Source organism: Homo sapiens, chromosome 5, assembly GCF_000001405.40.
Source record: "Homo sapiens chromosome 5, GRCh38.p14 Primary Assembly".
NCBI classification, from domain to species: Eukaryota; Metazoa; Chordata; class Mammalia; order Primates; family Hominidae; genus Homo; species Homo sapiens.
This window is the reverse complement of record NC_000005.10, coordinates 42,799,464-42,818,880: the sequence shown is the minus strand read 5'-3', so window position 1 is coordinate 42,818,880 and position 19,417 is coordinate 42,799,464. Positions and strand designations below refer to the sequence as shown.

General features: G+C 37.3%; 2 protein-coding genes across 5 annotated transcripts in view, besides 3 other annotated features; one reads left to right on the top strand and one right to left on the bottom strand.

Annotated features, from left to right (window-relative positions):
- Positions 6,265-6,830: an enhancer, noted in NCBI's record as "NANOG-H3K27ac hESC enhancer chr5:42812153-42812718 (GRCh37/hg19 assembly coordinates)". NCBI's record gives its function as "activates a minimal SCP1, AML or CMV promoter by ChIP-STARR-seq in primed H9 embryonic stem cells {active_cell/tissue: H9 hESC(primed)}" and the evidence as "EXISTENCE:reporter gene assay evidence [ECO:0000049][PMID:30033119]".
- Positions 6,989-19,001, top strand: SELENOP (selenoprotein P). 3 transcript variants are annotated; one of them, NM_001085486.3, is made up of 6 exons: positions 6,989-7,045; positions 9,093-9,121; positions 10,515-10,730; positions 11,773-11,985; positions 14,108-14,225; positions 17,550-19,001. In NM_001085486.3, the coding sequence occupies exons 3-6, from the start codon at positions 10,528-10,530 to the stop codon at positions 18,159-18,161; spliced, it is 1,146 nt and encodes a 381-aa protein (NP_001078955.1). In that variant the 5' UTR covers positions 6,989-7,045; positions 9,093-9,121; positions 10,515-10,527; the 3' UTR covers positions 18,162-19,001. The 3 variants fall into 3 exon arrangements, with proteins under 3 accessions (NP_001078955.1, NP_001087195.1, NP_005401.3); NM_001093726.3 differs by lacking the exon at positions 9,093-9,121 and adding an exon at positions 8,103-8,190; NM_005410.4 differs by lacking the exon at positions 9,093-9,121.
- Positions 14,148-14,648: an enhancer, noted in NCBI's record as "H3K4me1 hESC enhancer chr5:42804335-42804835 (GRCh37/hg19 assembly coordinates)". NCBI's record gives its function as "activates a minimal SCP1, AML or CMV promoter by ChIP-STARR-seq in naive H9 embryonic stem cells {active_cell/tissue: H9 hESC(naive)}" and the evidence as "EXISTENCE:reporter gene assay evidence [ECO:0000049][PMID:30033119]".
- Positions 14,649-15,149: an enhancer, noted in NCBI's record as "H3K4me1 hESC enhancer chr5:42803834-42804334 (GRCh37/hg19 assembly coordinates)". NCBI's record gives its function as "activates a minimal SCP1, AML or CMV promoter by ChIP-STARR-seq in naive H9 embryonic stem cells {active_cell/tissue: H9 hESC(naive)}" and the evidence as "EXISTENCE:reporter gene assay evidence [ECO:0000049][PMID:30033119]".
- Positions 16,442-19,417, bottom strand: part of CCDC152 (coiled-coil domain containing 152) — a 45,622-nt gene continuing 42,646 nt past the window's right edge. Inside the window, exon 9 of one of the 2 annotated variants that reach the window (NM_001134848.2) lies at positions 16,442-19,222. In NM_001134848.2, coding sequence (NP_001128320.1) covers positions 19,100-19,222 — 123 coding nt within the window. In that variant the 3' untranslated portion in view covers positions 16,442-19,099. The remainder of the gene's footprint in view (positions 19,223-19,417) is intronic. The other variant, XM_047416584.1, reaches the window with a different exon arrangement.

The following is a 19,417-nucleotide window of genomic DNA, read 5'->3' as shown; positions in this document are numbered from 1 at the left end:
GTCTATTTTGATAGATAGCATTTCTCATCAGAGTCTCCTGCTGGGCAAGAACAGTCAAGGCTTGACCGGTTGTATTAGTAATAATTTCGAAAACAGCTTGTAACCGTATGATTCCGTTGAGCATGTAGATGGGGGTCCGATATCCCCAAGAGCCATCTTGTGCCCAAGTGGTGGGTCCATAGTATTGTATGATTCTTTCAGGGGGCCATTTATCATCTTTCCAATCACCTATGGCTATGCTTTGTTTTTTGCGGGAAGCATAGACTGGGAAGCCCAGAAGTTCCCCTGCTTTTATGGGCAGTAAGAAGAAAGATGGTTTAATGGTGTCAATTACACAGCTACCTGTCCACTGATCAGGCAGCTTAGCATAAGCTCTGTGTCCACATATCCAGTATAACCTGGTGGGGGCCGTCCAGTCCCGGTGGAATTCTGGGTGGGCCCAAGCAGTCTGCAACTTTGGAAATTGACTGAATGGATCTCTTTCTGTGTAATTGGAACTCCACCATGTAACTGTATTTGTGGTACCATTATACAGCTTTTGCCTAAGACAACTAAGCCGCCTTATAGGATGAGTGAATCCTTTTCCTTCTCTAGCTATGCAACACTGTCTAATAATTCAGACTTTTAGGACCTAAAAATTGTCAGGGTGGTTCTTTTGGGCTGGGAATTCATCAGGAACTGGGTCTGTAGGAACTAATTCTCGGGCTTCTTATGGAAGTTCTTCTTATGGAAACTCTTACTACAGTTTTTCCACAAACATAACATGAATTGACATTTAAAGACTGGACTACATGCTCGGCTAATTGCAAAAACAAATTTCTGGTTTTTCCTGGAGTCTCTGGTACTGGCACATTTAGTTTATCATAGGAAGTCTGAAATACTGGTTCTGGAGAGCATCTTTGAACCCCTCCTTTTATTAGGATGCTTACACTAGGATCTAGTCCTCTTCCATCAATGCCTAATGTTACATATTTTCCTTCATTTCACTTTGGTTCTGAGGGGTTTGTGATTATCAGTTCTAAAGGGTTGCAGCTCCCACTCATGCAGGAGGGGGCTGATTTTTCCTTTTTGGAGCCAAACAGGATTTTTTTTATCTTTTTTCCAAGTAGCCTAAATGACACGAGACCAGTATTGACACATCTCATAAAAATATGATTTTTGACAGATATACTTATTTTTTTACTGTGTAACTTTTTTTCCAATTTAGAGAACTGCATCTTATTCCATGCTGCTTACTATCAATAGCAGCACAAGCGTCAAATTTTAAGGTTAGATTTTTGGGGACCCCTCTTTCTTCTGTTCTAGCTATTACCTTACTTGTGTCACCTAGAAAAGGACAAGTCCTTAATTTTATTTTAAAAACTGTGATCATGGGAGGCTTAAAATGGGTCATAACACACATCAGGTTGGTTATTTCCTGGGCTACATACCTTGGATAGAATAGCATTATACAAACAAATTTCTTTTAGAGTCCTGGTACACTTATAATAACCATAAAATAATAGGACTGTAGCAATCTTTTGTCCTACCTCAGTGACTTGATGTATATACTGGGAACAGTTCTCAGTCTGAGGAAGGTCAGTTGAAGTCCTTACTGTACAAGTCCAAATTTTAAGGAAAATGAGTCCCACGATGAGTTTCCTCATGCTTCGGCCATGCGTGAACCAGTCAGCTTCCGTGTGTGACTGGAGCAGGGCTTGTGGTCTTCTTCAGAGTCACTTTGCAGCGGTTGGCGAAGCTGCTCCCATCCACGTACAGCTCCCAGTCTACTGATGTTTAAGGGTGGTCTCAGAGGTTGGGCCTACTAGAATAAACTGAGTCCAACACCTCTACATAGTTTAAGTTTAACTGGGCTCTCTAATATCAGGAGTAATGTGGCGGGGTTAGGATGTTGCAAACTTCAATGGTTATGCGGGGATTTTCACAGAGCAAGCTTTGGTCTCTTGTTAGTCTAGCATTCATTAGCTAATGGTGTCCTTTGGTATTTATTAAAATCACCACAACATTGGGGGGACTTTATGTTTAGGTTTTGCCTAAGAGTTAGCTTATCTGCTTCTTGTGCTAACAGGGCCGTTGCTGCCAGGGTCCTTGGACATGGGGGCCAGCCTTTGGAAACCCCATTCAGTTGTTTTGAGAGATAGGCCACTGGCCTTGGCCAGGGCCCTACAGTCTGGGTTAAAACTCCAACTGCCAATTTTTTTCTTTCTGACACATAGAGTGTACAGAGTTTTGTCAGGCCAGGTAGCCTCAGGGCTGGGGCCGACATGAGTTTTTCTTTTTAACTCATGAAAAGCTCATTGCTGTTGGTTGTAATAGATGTAGTTCATCTAATCTACATTTTTATTGACTGTCATCTACTAAAATATTGACTTAAATCCTGTAACTATTTGATTTCAAGCTTTAAATTAATCTGGTATTCCTTGCGGGGCTCCAATTGCATCTAAATAGATGTGAGAGTTGAAAGACCTATAAGGGGCTTCTCTTGCTTTATGATGTCTTATTATTATTTTTTTTCCTCTGGTTGATGAAATGCCAGGGTGAAAGGGATAGCCAAATGGACTAAAGGACAAGTGCCACTCTAGTTATTCGGCAGAGTGCCCAGTAAAGGTCCACCACAATACCACCACACATCTGCTCAGGGATGAACAAGGGAAGACAGATTGATAAGCTCTTGAAAATTCTTAAGCTCACTGCATCCCTTCAGGTCTACAAGGAATGCTAAGTCTCCTCCCTGCTGTGAGAGACAAGAAGTGAACTTAGTGTTGGGAGACGGAAGCTGGATGGCCCTCGGGGGCTGACTGGCAGGGACTTCGGGATATAGCAGAGAGAGCTTGGCATGACTTATTACTCCTGGCTGCAGAATCCTGGAAAAGAGCTACATGCAGCCCACACCTGGTCAACTGAAGGACCACCTTAGTGGAAGGGGGACAATCAGGGCCTCTGGCCTGCCATGTGCACAAGCATAACAATTGCTTTTGTTTAATGTGCAGATGGAATATTTGATCCATTCCAACCAGGCATTTGCATCTTGGTATGCTGTCTTAATTGCCAAAGTTTGTTTTAAGTCTTCAACTTCTATGATCCTCTAGTAAAATGAATGTTTCCTTCAGCACCAATTTTTATTAGTTTTTAAATCAAAGAAAGCTAAACACCATTTTATATTTAATAATGCTTCTTGTATGATTTCTATACCAGATGAGTTAAGTTTTACCTTTTTATTAGTGTGTTATTAATGTTAAACTTAATTTTAATAAAACCTTGTAGACATATTTATCCAATTTTTTATGTTTGACCATAAGGTAAGATTTTATAGACTCTTTTTAATCTTTTATAATTTTTGTTAAAGAGCAAGTTGATGCTTTAAGAAAAACCTGTTGCATTTTTACTTTAATGTCCAGTTCACAGAAAAACTGGATGATACCTTTTTAACTTTAGCTAATATGTTTACCCACAGAATTTTCTTTAAAATTAATATTTTAAAACTTGCTTAAACTGTTAAAACAATAATTTTTTTAACCTTTTAATGTAGGTAAAAATTAATTCTTATGCCTCCTTATAATTTTTTTTACCAAAGTTATATTTTACTTTTCTTATACACCTTGTACATAAACAGTTTCTTTAATAGTACTCAGGAGGCCTTATTACTTTTAAATTATACAACATTTTTTGCATAAAAATTTTTTTATAACATTTTCTTTTACGACTTTCGCAGACAATTTTTTAACATGTCTCAACTTTCTGACTTATTACAAACAGTGTTTTTTTTTTAACAACCAGTTAATTTATTTTAGGAGAAGAATTTACCTTATAACACTCTTTTTACATAAATTCTGCCTCCCCCCCTTTTTTTTTTCCTGTTTTTTTTTTAAGATAACCATTCCTTTTTTTTTTTTTTAAAGCGAACTTTCTTTATGTCTTTGGACTAGACAGTCTAAGGCCACAAGATTAGAAGTTACCATAATACATGTTACACTGTTAACTTTTAGCAAACTTCACTTTTGTTGAAAACCTTGTAAGTTTGGGATTTCAATTATCCTTTGCTATTAATAAGACCTTGTTTAGTCTAAATTAACTTAGAATTGGTATAGATGGCCTCTTTTTCTCTCTGCTGGTCTTTCCTTGCCTCTGCCAGCCGCTTATGCTGCTGTTCTCTTAACTACTGTAGCGGGGAAGGGGGTCTAAAAGCAGCTGTAATTGTCTATGTACTGAAACTGGTCTGGGTGCCTTGGCTTACAGGTTACCTTGTGTCATACCTTTGAAACAAAGGACCTGTCCAGGCTTCCTTCTGATGGCCAACCCACCTCTAATGCTGGCCAGTCTATTTCACACAAAGTTCTAAGTTTTCCTGGTGTCACAGTAACACCGTAATCTCCCTTAAATTCTTTCTTGAAAATTTTCTTTTAACATAGTTCCTAGTGGGGTGGGCTTATTTGTGCCTGACCCATGTTTTTTTTCCGAGACAAAATACCACGCTCACACCACACACACTCACCACAAGAAAAAGAACGGGTAAAGAGGCTGCACACACACTTTTACCGTTTATACCAAACCAAAATCACGAAATTCAAAATCCGAGTACCAAAAAATTCAAGCCAAGTCAAAATCAAAACCAAAGTATCCAGCAATTCAAGTCAAGTCAAAACCAGAACAAAAGTGCCAATGCAGGCACGCTGTGGGTGATCAGGCCACACTTCCACTCAGATGGAGTGGGGCAAGTTCCAAAGACTAGTCTTACCAAGTCAAGCCAAGTCAAAACCAGAACAAAAGTGCCAATGCAGGCACGCTGTGGGTGATCAGGCCACACTTCCACTCAGATGGAGTGGGGCAAGTTCCAAAGACTAGTCTTACCAAGTCAAGCCAAGTCAAAACCAGAACAAAAGTGCCAATACAGGCACGCCGTGGGTGATCAGGCCACACTTCCACTCAGATGGAGTGGGGCAAGTTCCAAAGACTAGTCTTACCAAGTTTCAGATGTCGCGACTCCAAGTGCCAGTTCTTTCCGGTGTTCAGCCACCGTGTTAATCCTCTGCAGGGGCCTGCTATGCGCTGCTCTGGCAAGGCATTCCACCGGGGCAATTTCCTACCCGGGAGCGTTCTTTGGATCGCGTCACTCAGGCTGACTGGAGTCCCCTGCAGGGACGCTCCACAGGACAGGCCTAAGCCGCCTAACGGGTTAGCTCTGCCGTCTATGTCTATCAGTTACCTCGTTTCCTGGTCAGGGAACCAAGAAATGTAGCAGGACGAGCTGCAGACAAAACCTTTCAGACACTGAGTTGTAGAAAGAAGGGCTTTATTCAGCTGGGAGCGTGGGCAAGCCACTGCCTTAAAATCCGAGCTCCCCGAGTGCACAATTTCTGTCCCTTTTAAAGGCTCACAATACTAAAGATTTCACATGTAAGGGTTGTGATTGATTGGAGCAAGCAAGGGGTACATGACAAGGGCTGCGTGCACCGGTGGTCAGAGAGAAACAGAACAGGGCAGGGAGTTTCACAGTGTTCTTCTGTACAATGTCTGGAATCTATGAATAACATCGGTTTCGAAGTTATGAATTGATTTTTAACTACTGGGTTTAGGCCAGGCAGGCCCAGGCCTGGTTTGGGCCTGGCACCGGGCTGCCTGTCTTTGATTTCACATCCTTGTTTTTTTTTTTCCTTAAAACAGGTACTGAGTATAAAACAATATGAGAGGGTCTCTCTCTTTCCTCAATATGACTACTTAAATTGGTCAAGGAAATGAACTACAGGGAGGAATATCTGCTTTGTACAAAGATTTTTTTAATGACACTCTTTAAAAAAATGATTATGTATATGTGCATTTTAACTGGATTCTCAAAGAGATATGGGACCCCAAAAGGCAAGTAACAACTGCTCAGGGCAAGTAAAGAGAACTTGGATTTCAAATGGTAACCTCCTAATTTGATAGGAAGTTTCTTGAAAGGAAGGATAACATCTGAGTCTCTTTGTAGTTCCTGCACCTTGTACAACAGTATTCAGCATACAGCAATCAGTGGGGGATTATTTGGAAAAAAATTAATTGATGAAAAAAGCAAGGCCTACTCGAAAACCATTGCTATCTAGGAATGACATCATTTGACATTGCTCCTTACCTCACCTACAGTGAGCATGCCAACTTACAAGCGTTACCAGAAAGAAAATACCCTCTTCTGAAATAGTAGGAATTAGCTATTTCATTTGTACATCTTGAAATTTCCACACTCTTTCCATGTCCAACTACTACCTTTAATTTTTATTTTTATGGTATTCACATTTGTAAAGATTTTATATTCGATCCTCAAAAAATTCTGGGGATGCATAGGTCTTCCAGGAAGTACGACTTCAGTGACAATAAAAATGAGGTCTGATTTCCCTCAGATAGGAAGTCTATTTTTCTATTTCCTTAAATTAACAAGAAAAGAGCAGTGGTCCTGTGAAATCCCATATGAATTCAAGTTATAAACATAGAACACAATCGACGTGTAAGTCTGTAACAACAGGAGACCAGAGTAACTTGTAACAGCAGGTGACTTTTCTAACAAAGGTCACACTGTGTGGGCTAAGCTAGCACCTCATCACTGCAAGAAGCAAAACAAAAGGAAAAAAAAGCTTCTCTCTCTCTTTTTTTTTTTTTTTTAAAGCAGCAGCATAATTCGCTGGCTCAGCAAATGTTTTTCCCTGTTATAGTTTGGGAAAGAAGGCAACTTGGAGGCCTTGTTTACCCTTAGCCCTTCCTCCCGCCCCCGACTGTACCATTAAATCCTAGATTCTAGGGTGACTGAAAAGGATAGGGAATAAATTAGTAATTGTCAAAATGTTTTCCCCATATTATGCATGGCAGCACTTGCTACTTTCTTTTAAGTTGATAACAATCAGCTCAGGGGTTTGCTCTGCTTGCAAGGTCACTGCAAGAATGAACATTGAACTTTGGACTATACCTGAGGGGTGAGGTAAACAACAGGACTATAAATATCAGAGTGTGCTGCTGTGGCTTTGTGGAGCTGCCAGAGTAAAGCAAAGAGAAAGGAAGCAGGCCCGTTGGAAGTGGTTGTGTAAGTAGGAACTTCGTGTTTTCTGATACTTTATTCTTTTAAAGTTTGGTAAATATTTTTTGAGTCTGATAAATTGTTTTTTTCCATAGAATAGATTCAGAAAACTGGTGGATAGAGGAAATAAAAATAATAAAAGAGAAAAAGAATAAGAAGAGTCTGAACTTAGGTGTGGTAGGTGAAGTTCCCAGTGCGCACATTTGTCAGTTCTTGATTTCTGCCCTGTCTTCTGCACAGCTGAGAGCAGAGGAAGCTGGAGAAATCCAAACCTTTTATTCTATAATCTGTTGTGATGTTACATAGGCAGTATTATATGTTCAAATTTAAATATTTTCCACTGAAGGGCAGAGTAAGAACAAACAGGGAAAAAACCCAGCCATTTGGATTTGAAGAGCAGACACTGAAATATGCTCATTCTAGTGTTGTAGAAATGTCCAGGGATATTGTGAGCAGTTTCAGAAGAAAAAGTGGTGGAATGGGGTACAGTAGGTTCAGTCCACAGTGCAGAAGTGGTCACCCTTAAAGAAGCTAAAACCCATGTCAACAATTAGGTGGTCTGTGATTAAATGCAAACTTTTGTATTTTAAATGGTGAATGAGAGCATTCAGGTGAATTAGGGGCTTTCAGATGCTGGCCTAAAGTTCAGAGGTGGAGGACAGAGAAAGTTTGTACATATCCTGCTTTTTAATGAGTAATTTTAAATAAATGTAGGTCTGAATGTGGCCATGAAATTTAAGTTTCGCAATTGAAAAGTGGTGACATAGTGAAATTTACAACTACTTTTCAATTCTTATTGGATCAGCTTCCAGGAAACCCAATTTTGTTATTTATCTTCATTATTTTTATATAGCTGTCTGACAACTATAATTATCAAAGGTTTACGGTGTAAGAAATAATTTTAAGAAAACAAAATTGAGCAGCCTGTTGATTATAATGACAGAAGAAATCCGAAAGTGTGAACTCTTAAGCTACAACTCTCTGCCAATGGGTTATTTTTTCATCATAAACCTAAATGAGGGAAATGAGTGAAACAGTCTTTTCATTTGTATTCACCATTCAGCTACTTGCAATATGTGCTCTGGGCTGGACGCGGTGGCTCACGCTTGTAATCCCAGCACTTTGGGAGGCCAAGGCAGGCGGATCACGAGGTGAGGAGTGTAAGACCAGCCTGGCCAACATGGTGAAACCCCGTCTCTACTAAAAATAAAAAAATTAGCAGGACGTGGTGGCGAGAGCCTGTAATCCCAGCTACTTGGGAGGGTGAGGTAGGAGAATTGCTTGAACCCGGGAGGCGAAGTTTGCAGTGAGCTGAGATTGCGCCATTGCACTCCAGCCTGGGTAACAGAGCAAGACTCCGTCTCAAAAAATAAATAAATAAATAAATAGATAAATAAATATGTGCTCTGTGGCAAAGTGAAAAAACCAAGTGCTGATTTTTTGCCAAGGTTCTGTAACTACTGAATTTGTGGTCTAGGAAACAGAGAAAACCTAGCCTTTCTATTAAGAAATAAAACAGCTTGAATTATTTTTATGTTTTCTTTGGCATCTTAGTGCATAAACAAAAATAGTTGGCGGCTATAGTTATTACAAGGTGATCTATCTAAAAACTCTCAATATATTGCAGTAGCTAAGATGTAGCTTAGGATTTGACAGAACTAGTTTTAATCCAGTCTCTTTTGTGACTGACTTTCTCTCTGTGTGATCATAGACAAGTTACCTAAACTCTTAGCCATGGTTTTTCTCAACTGCAAAAGGGGATAATGGTCACATAATTGTTTTAAGGATTAACTGACATGATATATAAAAGTGCTTAGTGCCACCTGAATATATTTGTATAAAAGTTAAATAAACATTAGCTATAATAAGGATAATTGTATTATCATTGTAAATACCATTCTAGAGGAATTTTCTAGAAACAGTCCAAATATATCTTCTTCTTCTTCTTAAAATATTAGAATATTTTAAATATTAAAATAAGTAGTTGGAGTGGCCTTAAATAAGTAAGTTAATTTGTCCTCTCTCTCTACCTCTCTCACCTCACTCTCTCTAGTTAAGTTCTTATCAAGATATCATATATAGGTAAGAGTTTTGATGTGTTAAATAATGTGAAAGACAATCAGGGTTAAAAATTCTATCTATATCTACCAGTGCATTAAAGCCCAGATCAATCTGATTTTAACTTTTCTATTCTTCTCTTAATTCTGGGCTCACTCTAAGTAATTTACCATTAGCTCCCCACCTCCAAAGAAATGCATCTGCTTTTAAAAATTTCAAATCAGTGCTTGAAAATATATTGATTTCCCAGTTTTCAAATTTTGTCCTGATCTCTCCCCACAGATTCTTACATCAAAATGAGCCTGAATTACTTGTGAGGATTTTTCTTTGCTCCTCTCTGCTGAATGTGTTCCTTTTTCTTTATCACCTGTCTACAGTTCACCTGTTTTTGAACATTTCTGTTTAGAGAGCTAGCCCTAGTTTTGAGGATATTTCTAGTCAGGTATTTAAAAGCATTTTAATTTCGTTGCTCAGAGGAAGCATCTTTTTACCAAAGAAAGTGCTGTCTAGTCATAGGAATTTTCTAGTCATAGGAACTTTCCAATAAATAGGCTAATTGAGTGTGGATTTCAAAGAGTCTTAAATGGTAGAGGGGGCAGATGTGTGATATTTCTACTTGGTTAGATACATACAGCCAGACTTCAAGGAATAAGAGAAACAAAAGGGAGCCATACCCAAGAGATAAATATAGAATGTTTGAACTTGAAGAGCTAAGGGCCCGACATGAGCCACATTCATGTTGGTATACTGTCTTTTCTGCCATCATCTTTTTTCCTTGGTTCTCTTTTTTTGCTGGCTCTTTTCATTTCTGTGCAGAATGCTCTATTTATCCCTTTCTTCTTCTTCTTTTGTTTTTTTTTTTTTGAGACAGAGTCTCGTTCTGTCGCCCAGGCTGGAGTGCAGGGGCGCGATCTCAGCTCACTGCAAGCTCCACCGCCCGGGTTCACACCATTCTCCTGCCTCAGCCTCCTGAGTAGCTGGGACTACAGGTGTCTGCCACCAAGCCTGGCTAATTTTTTTTTTTTTTTTGTATAATTTTAGTAGAGAAGGGGTTTCACCGTGTTAGCCAGGATGGTCTCGATCTCCTGACATCGTGATCTGCCAGCCTCGGCCTCCCAAAGTGCTGGGATTACAGGCGTGAGCCACCACACCCGGCCTATCCCTTTCTTCTTGGAGGATAGAAAGAACAGTCAGAACTTGGTGTGTCTCAAACAAAAGTTAGGTTGTGTTTGCAGAATGTTACATAAGTCACAGACTTATTTTTATAAGCCACAGTCTGAACATAACTTTCTGGAGACAGAATTCATGGGCTAGGTATTTTTAGGAAGTGGAATTATGTCTGCAGGATTTATAGAAATTCATAGTTAGGACTGTGAAGTTAACTATGAAGAAGAGTGACAGGTTTTCTCTTTTACAGGACAACCCCAGCAATGTGGAGAAGCCTGGGGCTTGCCCTGGCTCTCTGTCTCCTCCCATCGGGAGGAACAGAGAGCCAGGACCAAAGCTCCTTATGTAAGCAACCCCCAGCCTGGAGCATAAGAGATCAAGATCCAATGCTAAACTCCAATGGTTCAGTGACTGTGGTTGCTCTTCTTCAAGCCAGCTGATACCTGTGCATACTGCAGGCATCTAAGTAAGACAGTCTTTCTGTGGCTTAAAATACCTTAAGGGGAAGGCTATTAAATACACACACGCATATAGACATAAAATAAAAGTGTAAATAATGTATTAAGTCACACTTTTAGAAAAACTATGTGTTTGCATAGAACATATTAGAAGAGAGAAACTAGGATGATACACACCAAAATGTTTACAGTGGGTTTCCTAGGGTTATGGAAATTTTTTCTTCTTTTTGTGCACCTATATTTTATAACTTCCTACTAAATATGTATTACTTGTGTAATGAAAATGCTCTAAAATGTACTTCTGCAAATAGAACAGTTACTTCAATACAAGAGGCAGAGAAGACTGTTTTGTCAGAGTAGAAAGAACACTAGGCTTGCTATCAAAGTCTTGGGTTATTTAACAAATAAATATAAAAAATATTTGTTGAGTTATTCACCAGATATTCACTGGGTGGAATTCTCCTTACAGTCATCCAGTGGTATCTGTGCAGGATTGGTTCCAGGATCCCCCTCATACACCAAAATCCATGGAGCTCAAATCCTTTATATAAAATGGCATGTATAACCTATGCATATACTTTCATATGCTTTAATCATCTCTAGATTACTTATAATACCTAACACAATGTAAATGCTATGTAAGGAATTTTTATACTGTATTTAGTGAATAATGAATGACAAGAAAAAAAGTCTACATGTTCACTACTATAGATGCAGCCATCTTTTTTTTTCCAACCATTTTTTATCTGTGGTTGGTTGAATCCATTCTACCTATAAGATACATTCAAAATATATACACTTCATCGTGCTAATTTGAGAACTAAACCAATGTTTGTTTAAGCATAAGGTTTTAATTAAGCACAAGTTTTAAGTAATTCTAAAAATGAAAGTTTTAAAATCTTTTACAGCAATATAAAGAATAGGTGCAGTATGGGTTAGTTAAAAATAAGAAGGAGAGTTTCACATAGAAAATTAAGGAAGAGGGAGAAAAACCACTAATCAAATCAAATGAGATTATTCATTTTATGTATTTCTTCCCAAATATTTTAGATTAGAAGACCTGCGAGTAAAACTGAAGAAAGAAGGATATTCTAATATTTCTTATATTGTTGTTAATCATCAAGGAATCTCTTCTCGATTAAAATACACACATCTTAAGAATAAGGTTTCAGAGCATATTCCTGTTTATCAACAAGAAGAAAACCAAACAGATGTCTGGACTCTTTTAAATGGAAGCAAAGATGACTTCCTCATATATGATAGGTTTGTACATACACACAAACACATCCCAAATTTAAAAATAACTGTTTCGTATCTATTTATTTACTTCCCATCACACATAACAATCTTCTTTACTGTTAAATACAATGCCATATTTCAGTCTTCATCTCATATAATCTCTCTTTAACATTTAGAAGTAAAAATCACTCCTTATTTTTGAAATACTCTCATTTTAAAAAATTTCTATGACACTATACCCTGCTGGTTTTCCTCATATCCTTCCTCTTCTTTCTCCTCCTCCACACTTCCTCCTCTTCCACCTCCTGATTTTTCTTCCTCCCACATTCTTCCTTGGTTTATTCTGTATGTGTTTGTGTTATTCAGGGCTATACAGCTTTCTGCCTATTCACACTCTGCACATTTTACCTGAGCAATCTCATCTATCCCTTGATTACAATTAAAACACATATTAGGATGATCCCATATATACAAAGCTGAAACACAATGACTGAACTCCAGACGAGTCTACTTCCTAGACATATTCACAAACATCTTAAATTTAATTATTCAAATCTGTATTGATTATCTTCTCCTAAAACATGCTTATACTTTCACTTTTGTGTGATTTTTATATACAACCTATTGGAGGCAGATGCAGCCAACCACTAGGGCATATAATCCTATAATTTTCAGACCCTGCACTCCCAGTCATCATCCACTATTTTGCAGGACATCACAAAAACCATCAGGTATGGCAGCCTTGCTGCCATCCACCCCTTCACAAAACTGTGTGACAGGAATGTATTACTTACTCCTTCCACCACACTTCCCACCTCAGTCAGTAATCAAATTCTATGGGTTCTTAATCCTGAGTATATTTATCTCATATCCGTAATTATTATCTCAAGTTACTTCCTGGTGACCACTCCTCTAGATTTTTCCACTAATCTCTTCACTTGATTTCTTCTTGTTTTGTATTTAATAGTAAGTGATTTAAAATAATATATTTGCTTTTGATTATTGCCAAATAGTTTATAAACTCTTTATTCACATTTATTTTTTTGAAATGACTTTGATTTTTGAAATGACTTTTTAAAAAGTAAGGCATGTAAAAGAGTTCACCATTCCAAGAGGAAAATACAGAAAATTGATTATCCCCATAAATTGGCATTTCGGTTAAATAAAAAGAATGACCAATTTGTATATCCTGTACAATTCTAACCTAATTCTTTTGCAAATGAATAACCATATCTTCTAATTAATTTTAATCTAAATAATAATTTTAAGGCTACATACCTGAATTTCTGAACTGTAAAGTGAGTTAATCATTTAAGCATGATCTGCACAAATCTACTTTTGATTCTATGAACAAATAAAACATTTATATTTTGAGGGAATCTCAATTCATGCATTATGCCATTATAAACATTCTTAGTTGGTGCTTTGTTTTTTTTGACTCTCCGGAGTCTGGTGAGCCCTACTTGGTCTTACACTAAATTTTTAAAAATTCACATTTCATTCTTTTAGGCCTTTAAACTTCTAATTTTTAGGATAACCTAAAAGTATAACCCTTTGATAGTCACATAAAACCATATATACTAGGTAAAATGTAGGCAAGAAGAACATTTTAACCCCACCATTTCTGACAATGCCACATGTTCTAATACTTTCATTGTGCTGAAATTTTCATTGCATTAGATACATTTTTAAATAAATGGGCTACTGGCCAAGGCTTGGAGATGTTTTTGTTATGTGATGATTTCTTGTTGTGTCAAATTTGTGCTGCCTTAGCAGTTATGACAAGCTCAAGTGATTTTCAGAGCCTAATTTATAAGTTAGCGGTTTGGGCACTGGTAGAATTTATAAGTCAGTCACAAAATTGTATTTTACCAAGTCACAGTGATGACATTTTTGATATTATATAGTGACATATCTATAACATTTCAAAATACTAGTATTAGACTAATTATAGTGTTGCTATGACCTGACCTGGTGTGCAGTACCTGGGAGCTCATTTGTAGCTCTCATCCAAAGAAATTTAGTAAAGGCGTGAAAGGGTCTTAGTTATGACCATTAAACCTATAATACCTATCCCAGACTGTATTTGAGTAGGATCGTGATACAGAAAATATTATAGTGACATTGTATTTGTCCTTTTTCTTAGATGTGGCCGTCTTGTATATCATCTTGGTTTGCCTTTTTCCTTCCTAACTTTCCCATATGTAGAAGAAGCCATTAAGATTGCTTACTGTGAAAAGAAATGTGGAAACTGCTCTCTCACGGTATTTTTCTGAATTATTTTTCTGGGGAGAAAAGAGGAAATCTTTTAAGAGTTTATCATGAAACACTTATTTAGAAAACTCAATGCTTTTGCAGGTGTACTAAAAATAAATAACAATAATTTTTACAATTAAACAAACATCCTGTCATCTAACCTCTACTTTATTTATTTATTTATTACTATTACTATTATTTTTGAGACGGAGTCTGTCTCTGTCGCCGAGGCTGGAGTGCAGTGGCGCGATCTCGGCTCACTGCAAGCTCCGCCTCCCGGGTTCACGCCATTCTCCTGCCTCAGTCTCCCGAGTAGCTAGGACTACAGGCGTCCGCCACTACTCCCAGCTAATTTTTTGTATTTTTAGTAGAGACGGGGTTTCACTGTGTTAGCCAGGATGGTCTCGATCTCCAGCCCTTGTGATACGCCCGCCTCGGCCTCCCAAAGTGCTGGGATTACAGGCGTGAGCCACCGCGCCCGGCCTAACCTCTAGTTTAAAACATCTTTTGAAGATCGATGTTGCTGCCTTTATCTAGAAGAGCTTTAGAAATTAAAAATCAATGTATCGTATTTCAGTTACCACCAAATGACGTTGCATGGGCATAAGTGCTCAAAAAATTTAGTCAACACAAAAAAGCAATGTTATTGTAGTAACCTGAACATGTTAGCACAAGAACATAAAAATAGCAAAGCTTACCCACAGCATTACTTGGAATGGAACTGGGGCCAGAAACTACTTAATTTATTGAAGATGCAAGGCTATCAGATTTTTCCTGAAGCCCTTCCACTGCCTGCCCATCTGCAGTCTGAGTTTACTTCAAAATGGAGTAAGTTTTCTACTCATTACTGGTATTTATTTCCTAACAACCATGAAAATATTTCTTCTTTGTTATGAGAAGAACTATATTTAAATCTTTTTTAAATAAAAAAGGCACTCAAAGAATTTAATTTGTATTAACTAGACTTGTTTTCCTTCATAACAAAAAGGAAAATAATTCTAAACAATGTTCCATTGAGAAGTCAGATTGGGAAAATTTGAACTTAGGTTTAAAAACAATTCACAATTTTATCTGTAAGTTGTATTTCCTTCAGATTTTCCCCAGGTCTAAAGAAAGCCGCCTCAAATTTTTAACGAATTTAATTAATTAATTTAGTTGTTAAGGAGTATAAGTTACTTACTCTAGTTATGTAATTTTCACATTTTAATCTTTATAATGATCTTTTGAGGGTTATTTTACTATTTTTAAAGATGAGGAGACTGAGGTAATGGAAGAAAATACTAAGAGTAATGAAAGAAAAGTACTAACTCAACCTATACTAAGCATTTAATAAATACTAATTATAATGATTCCTCATATTTTGGGATTATTTCTGCATTTCTCATTTGTGCAAATGCTTGCTAGTTATAAATATACCCAGTTATATTGAAAAAGGCAGTTAATAGTTACCACAATATGCTTAAAATGTGTGAATCATCTGTAAATACAAATTACAGATCAGACACTATTAGTATCTGATATGCCAAATCCGATTGGAGTTTTTCTATTTCATTGTCTCCTAGATACCACTGATTATTTGACATATTATCTTATGTAGTATTTAGGAAAAAAAAATGCTGCTAATTAAAGTAGGATACAGTGAGAAACCACCACCAACAGTATGGTACATTCTAATTTTAGAGATATTAAAATCTAAAGAAATATGCATCACATAATCAGTAAAATATAGTAATTCGTTTCTGAAATTAGACTACTGGCAGGGTGCGGTGGCCCACGCCTGTAATCCCAGCACTTTGGGAGGCCGAGGTGGATGAATCACGAGGTCAATAGATCGAGACCATCCTGGCCAACATGGTGAAACCCCATCTCTACTAAAAATACAAAAATTAGCTGGGCGTGGTGGCACGTGTCTGCAATCCCAGCTGCTTGGGAGGCTGGGGCAGGAGAATCACTTGAACCTAGGAGGCGGAAGTTGCAGTGAGTCGAGGTCGTGCCACTGCACTCCAGCCTGGCGAAAGAGTGAGACTCCGTCACTAAATAAATAAATAAATGAAAGAAATTAGACTACTACCATAGGTATTTGTGTTTGTTTAAACCTTGAACACTTTGAACATTACACAGTATATTTTAAACATGTATCAAATTCTTTATAAGTTTGTAAGCAAACATTATTAGCTTCTAATGTAGAAGTAATTCAGAAATAACCAAATAAAGTACCACTTAGTAGTTGTATGCTAAAATTTAATGGAATTTATAACCTTTTAAAACCTTCAAAACATCAAAAGCATATCACTTAGTGAGTCTTTGGGTTCTAAGTTGATTTTGTAATTTTATTTGCAAATTAGCCTTAGGTTGAGATTTACTGTTACATTTCTGTATCTATAGGCTTTGAGTCTCTGATTAGTAGGTACCACAAAACAGTAAAGACTTCCAGTAAATTAAAGAACTAGGATCATGCGGAATGGATATTATGGTCAATGGGAGTCGGGCAGTAATTTGCTATTTTCAGCTGACAGCCTTATGGTAGGGAGACATTAGCAAAGCTTTGGTGAAGTTCAAAACATTTCCTGGCATAGGATGAAGTATGAAAAACTAACACATTTGAGCAGAGTTTATTAGCATTTTTGAATTATCAGAGATAATATTAGATTACAGTATCATATAGTATTAGATAAGATGCACCGTTGACACAGGTACAGAAGTTTCCATATAGTTCAACTGATTTTTTATTTATTTTTTATTTTTTTGAGATAGGGTCTGACTCTGTCACCCAGGCTGGAGTGCAGTGGCACCATCTGAGCTCACTGCAACCTCCATCTTGCAGGCTCAAACGATCCTCCCACCTCAGCCTCACAAGTAGCTGGGACTACAGGCATCTGACACCACACCCAGCTAATTTTTGTATATTTTGCAGAGACAGGATCTCGCCATGTTGCCCAGGCTGGTCTCCGACTCCTGAGCCCAAGTAATCTGCCCCCCTCGGCCACCCAAAGTGGTGGGATTACAGGCATGAGCCACCATGCTCGGCCCAGATCAACTGAATTTAGGATTTGATATTACTTTGACTTTCCTGCAATCCAAGTTCCTTTTGCCAGTTTACTTCATTTGCTTCTGCAAATATAAGTACAGTGGTTTGGCTTTCTTTTTAAGCCTTTAATAAAATGTCTAGGTGTTGAGACTAACATCAGACTCTTTCTCATTAATATAATACAAAGCCAGCTCGATTCTAATTAACTAGTTGGAATTTCACATGTTAGCTCTACAAATCATTTTTCACGCATTATTCCTATCTCTATAAGCTTGTTAAAAAGTGATTTATAAATTTGTTCCAGACTCTCAAAGATGAAGACTTTTGTAAACGTGTATCTTTGGCTACTGTGGATAAAACAGTTGAAACTCCATCGCCTCATTACCATCATGAGCATCATCACAATCATGGACATCAGCACCTTGGCAGCAGTGAGCTTTCAGAGAATCAGCAACCAGGAGCACCAAATGCTCCTACTCATCCTGCTCCTCCAGGCCTTCATCACCACCATAAGCACAAGGGTCAGCATAGGCAGGGTCACCCAGAGAACCGAGATATGCCAGCAAGTGAAGATTTACAAGATTTACAAAAGAAGCTCTGTCGAAAGAGATGTATAAATCAATTACTCTGTAAATTGCCCACAGATTCAGAGTTGGCTCCTAGGAGCTGATGCTGCCATTGTCGACATCTGATATTTGAAAAAACAGGGTCTGCAATCACCTGACAGTGTAAAGAAAACCTCCCATCTTTATGTAGCTGACAGGGACTTCGGGCAGAGGAGAACATAACTGAATCTTGTCAGTGACGTTTGCCTCCAGCTGCCTGACAAATAAGTCAGCAGCTTATACCCACAGAAGCCAGTGCCAGTTGACGCTGAAAGAATCAGGCAAAAAAGTGAGAATGACCTTCAAACTAAATATTTAAAATAGGACATACTCCCCAATTTAGTCTAGACACAATTTCATTTCCAGCATTTTTATAAACTACCAAATTAGTGAACCAAAAATAGAAATTAGATTTGTGCAAACATGGAGAAATCTACTGAATTGGCTTCCAGATTTTAAATTTTATGTCATAGAAATATTGACTCAAACCATATTTTTTATGATGGAGCAACTGAAAGGTGATTGCAGCTTTTGGTTAATATGTCTTTTTTTTTCTTTTTCCAGTGTTCTATTTGCTTTAATGAGAATAGAAACGTAAACTATGACCTAGGGGTTTCTGTTGGATAATTAGCAGTTTAGAATGGAGGAAGAACAACAAAGACATGCTTTCCATTTTTTTCTTTACTTATCTCTCAAAACAATATTACTTTGTCTTTTCAATCTTCTACTTTTAACTAATAAAATAAGTGGATTTTGTATTTTAAGATCCAGAAATACTTAACACGTGAATATTTTGCTAAAAAAGCATATATAACTATTTTAAATATCCATTTATCTTTTGTATATCTAAGACTCATCCTGATTTTTACTATCACACATGAATAAAGCCTTTGTATCTTTCTTTCTCTAATGTTGTATCATACTCTTCTAAAACTTGAGTGGCTGTCTTAAAAGATATAAGGGGAAAGATAATATTGTCTGTCTCTATATTGCTTAGTAAGTATTTCCATAGTCAATGATGGTTTAATAGGTAAACCAAACCCTATAAACCTGACCTCCTTTATGGTTAATACTATTAAGCAAGAATGCAGTACAGAATTGGATACAGTACGGATTTGTCCAAATAAATTCAATAAAAACCTTAAAGCTGACTTCGTTTGTTATGTAGGCTGTATGCATATATTGAAAACAGAAGTGAAACTTTCGATTGCTTTTAAATAAATACCAACTAATGAATTTACTGCTAAGCTCAAAACCGTCTACGCTTAAGGTGAGAATCTTTGCCAACAGAAAGGCGTTGCTCTAAATCGCGAATGGTATTACGAAGAATTGCAATCTCCTTGTTTTTTTCTTCTTGAAAATGCTGAAGTTTCTAAACGAAACAAAAAATTTGTTATTAGAATTCAGAAATAAAATTTAGTACAAGGAACAACAAAATAACAAAGAAATGCACTTCTGCTATTGGTATTTTAAAAAATACCTTATATTGTTAATAAGAATTAGATGATTTTTATAGAAACATGCTTAGAAAGTTTTCTTAAGCAACAAATACTGAGAGGAAAACTCA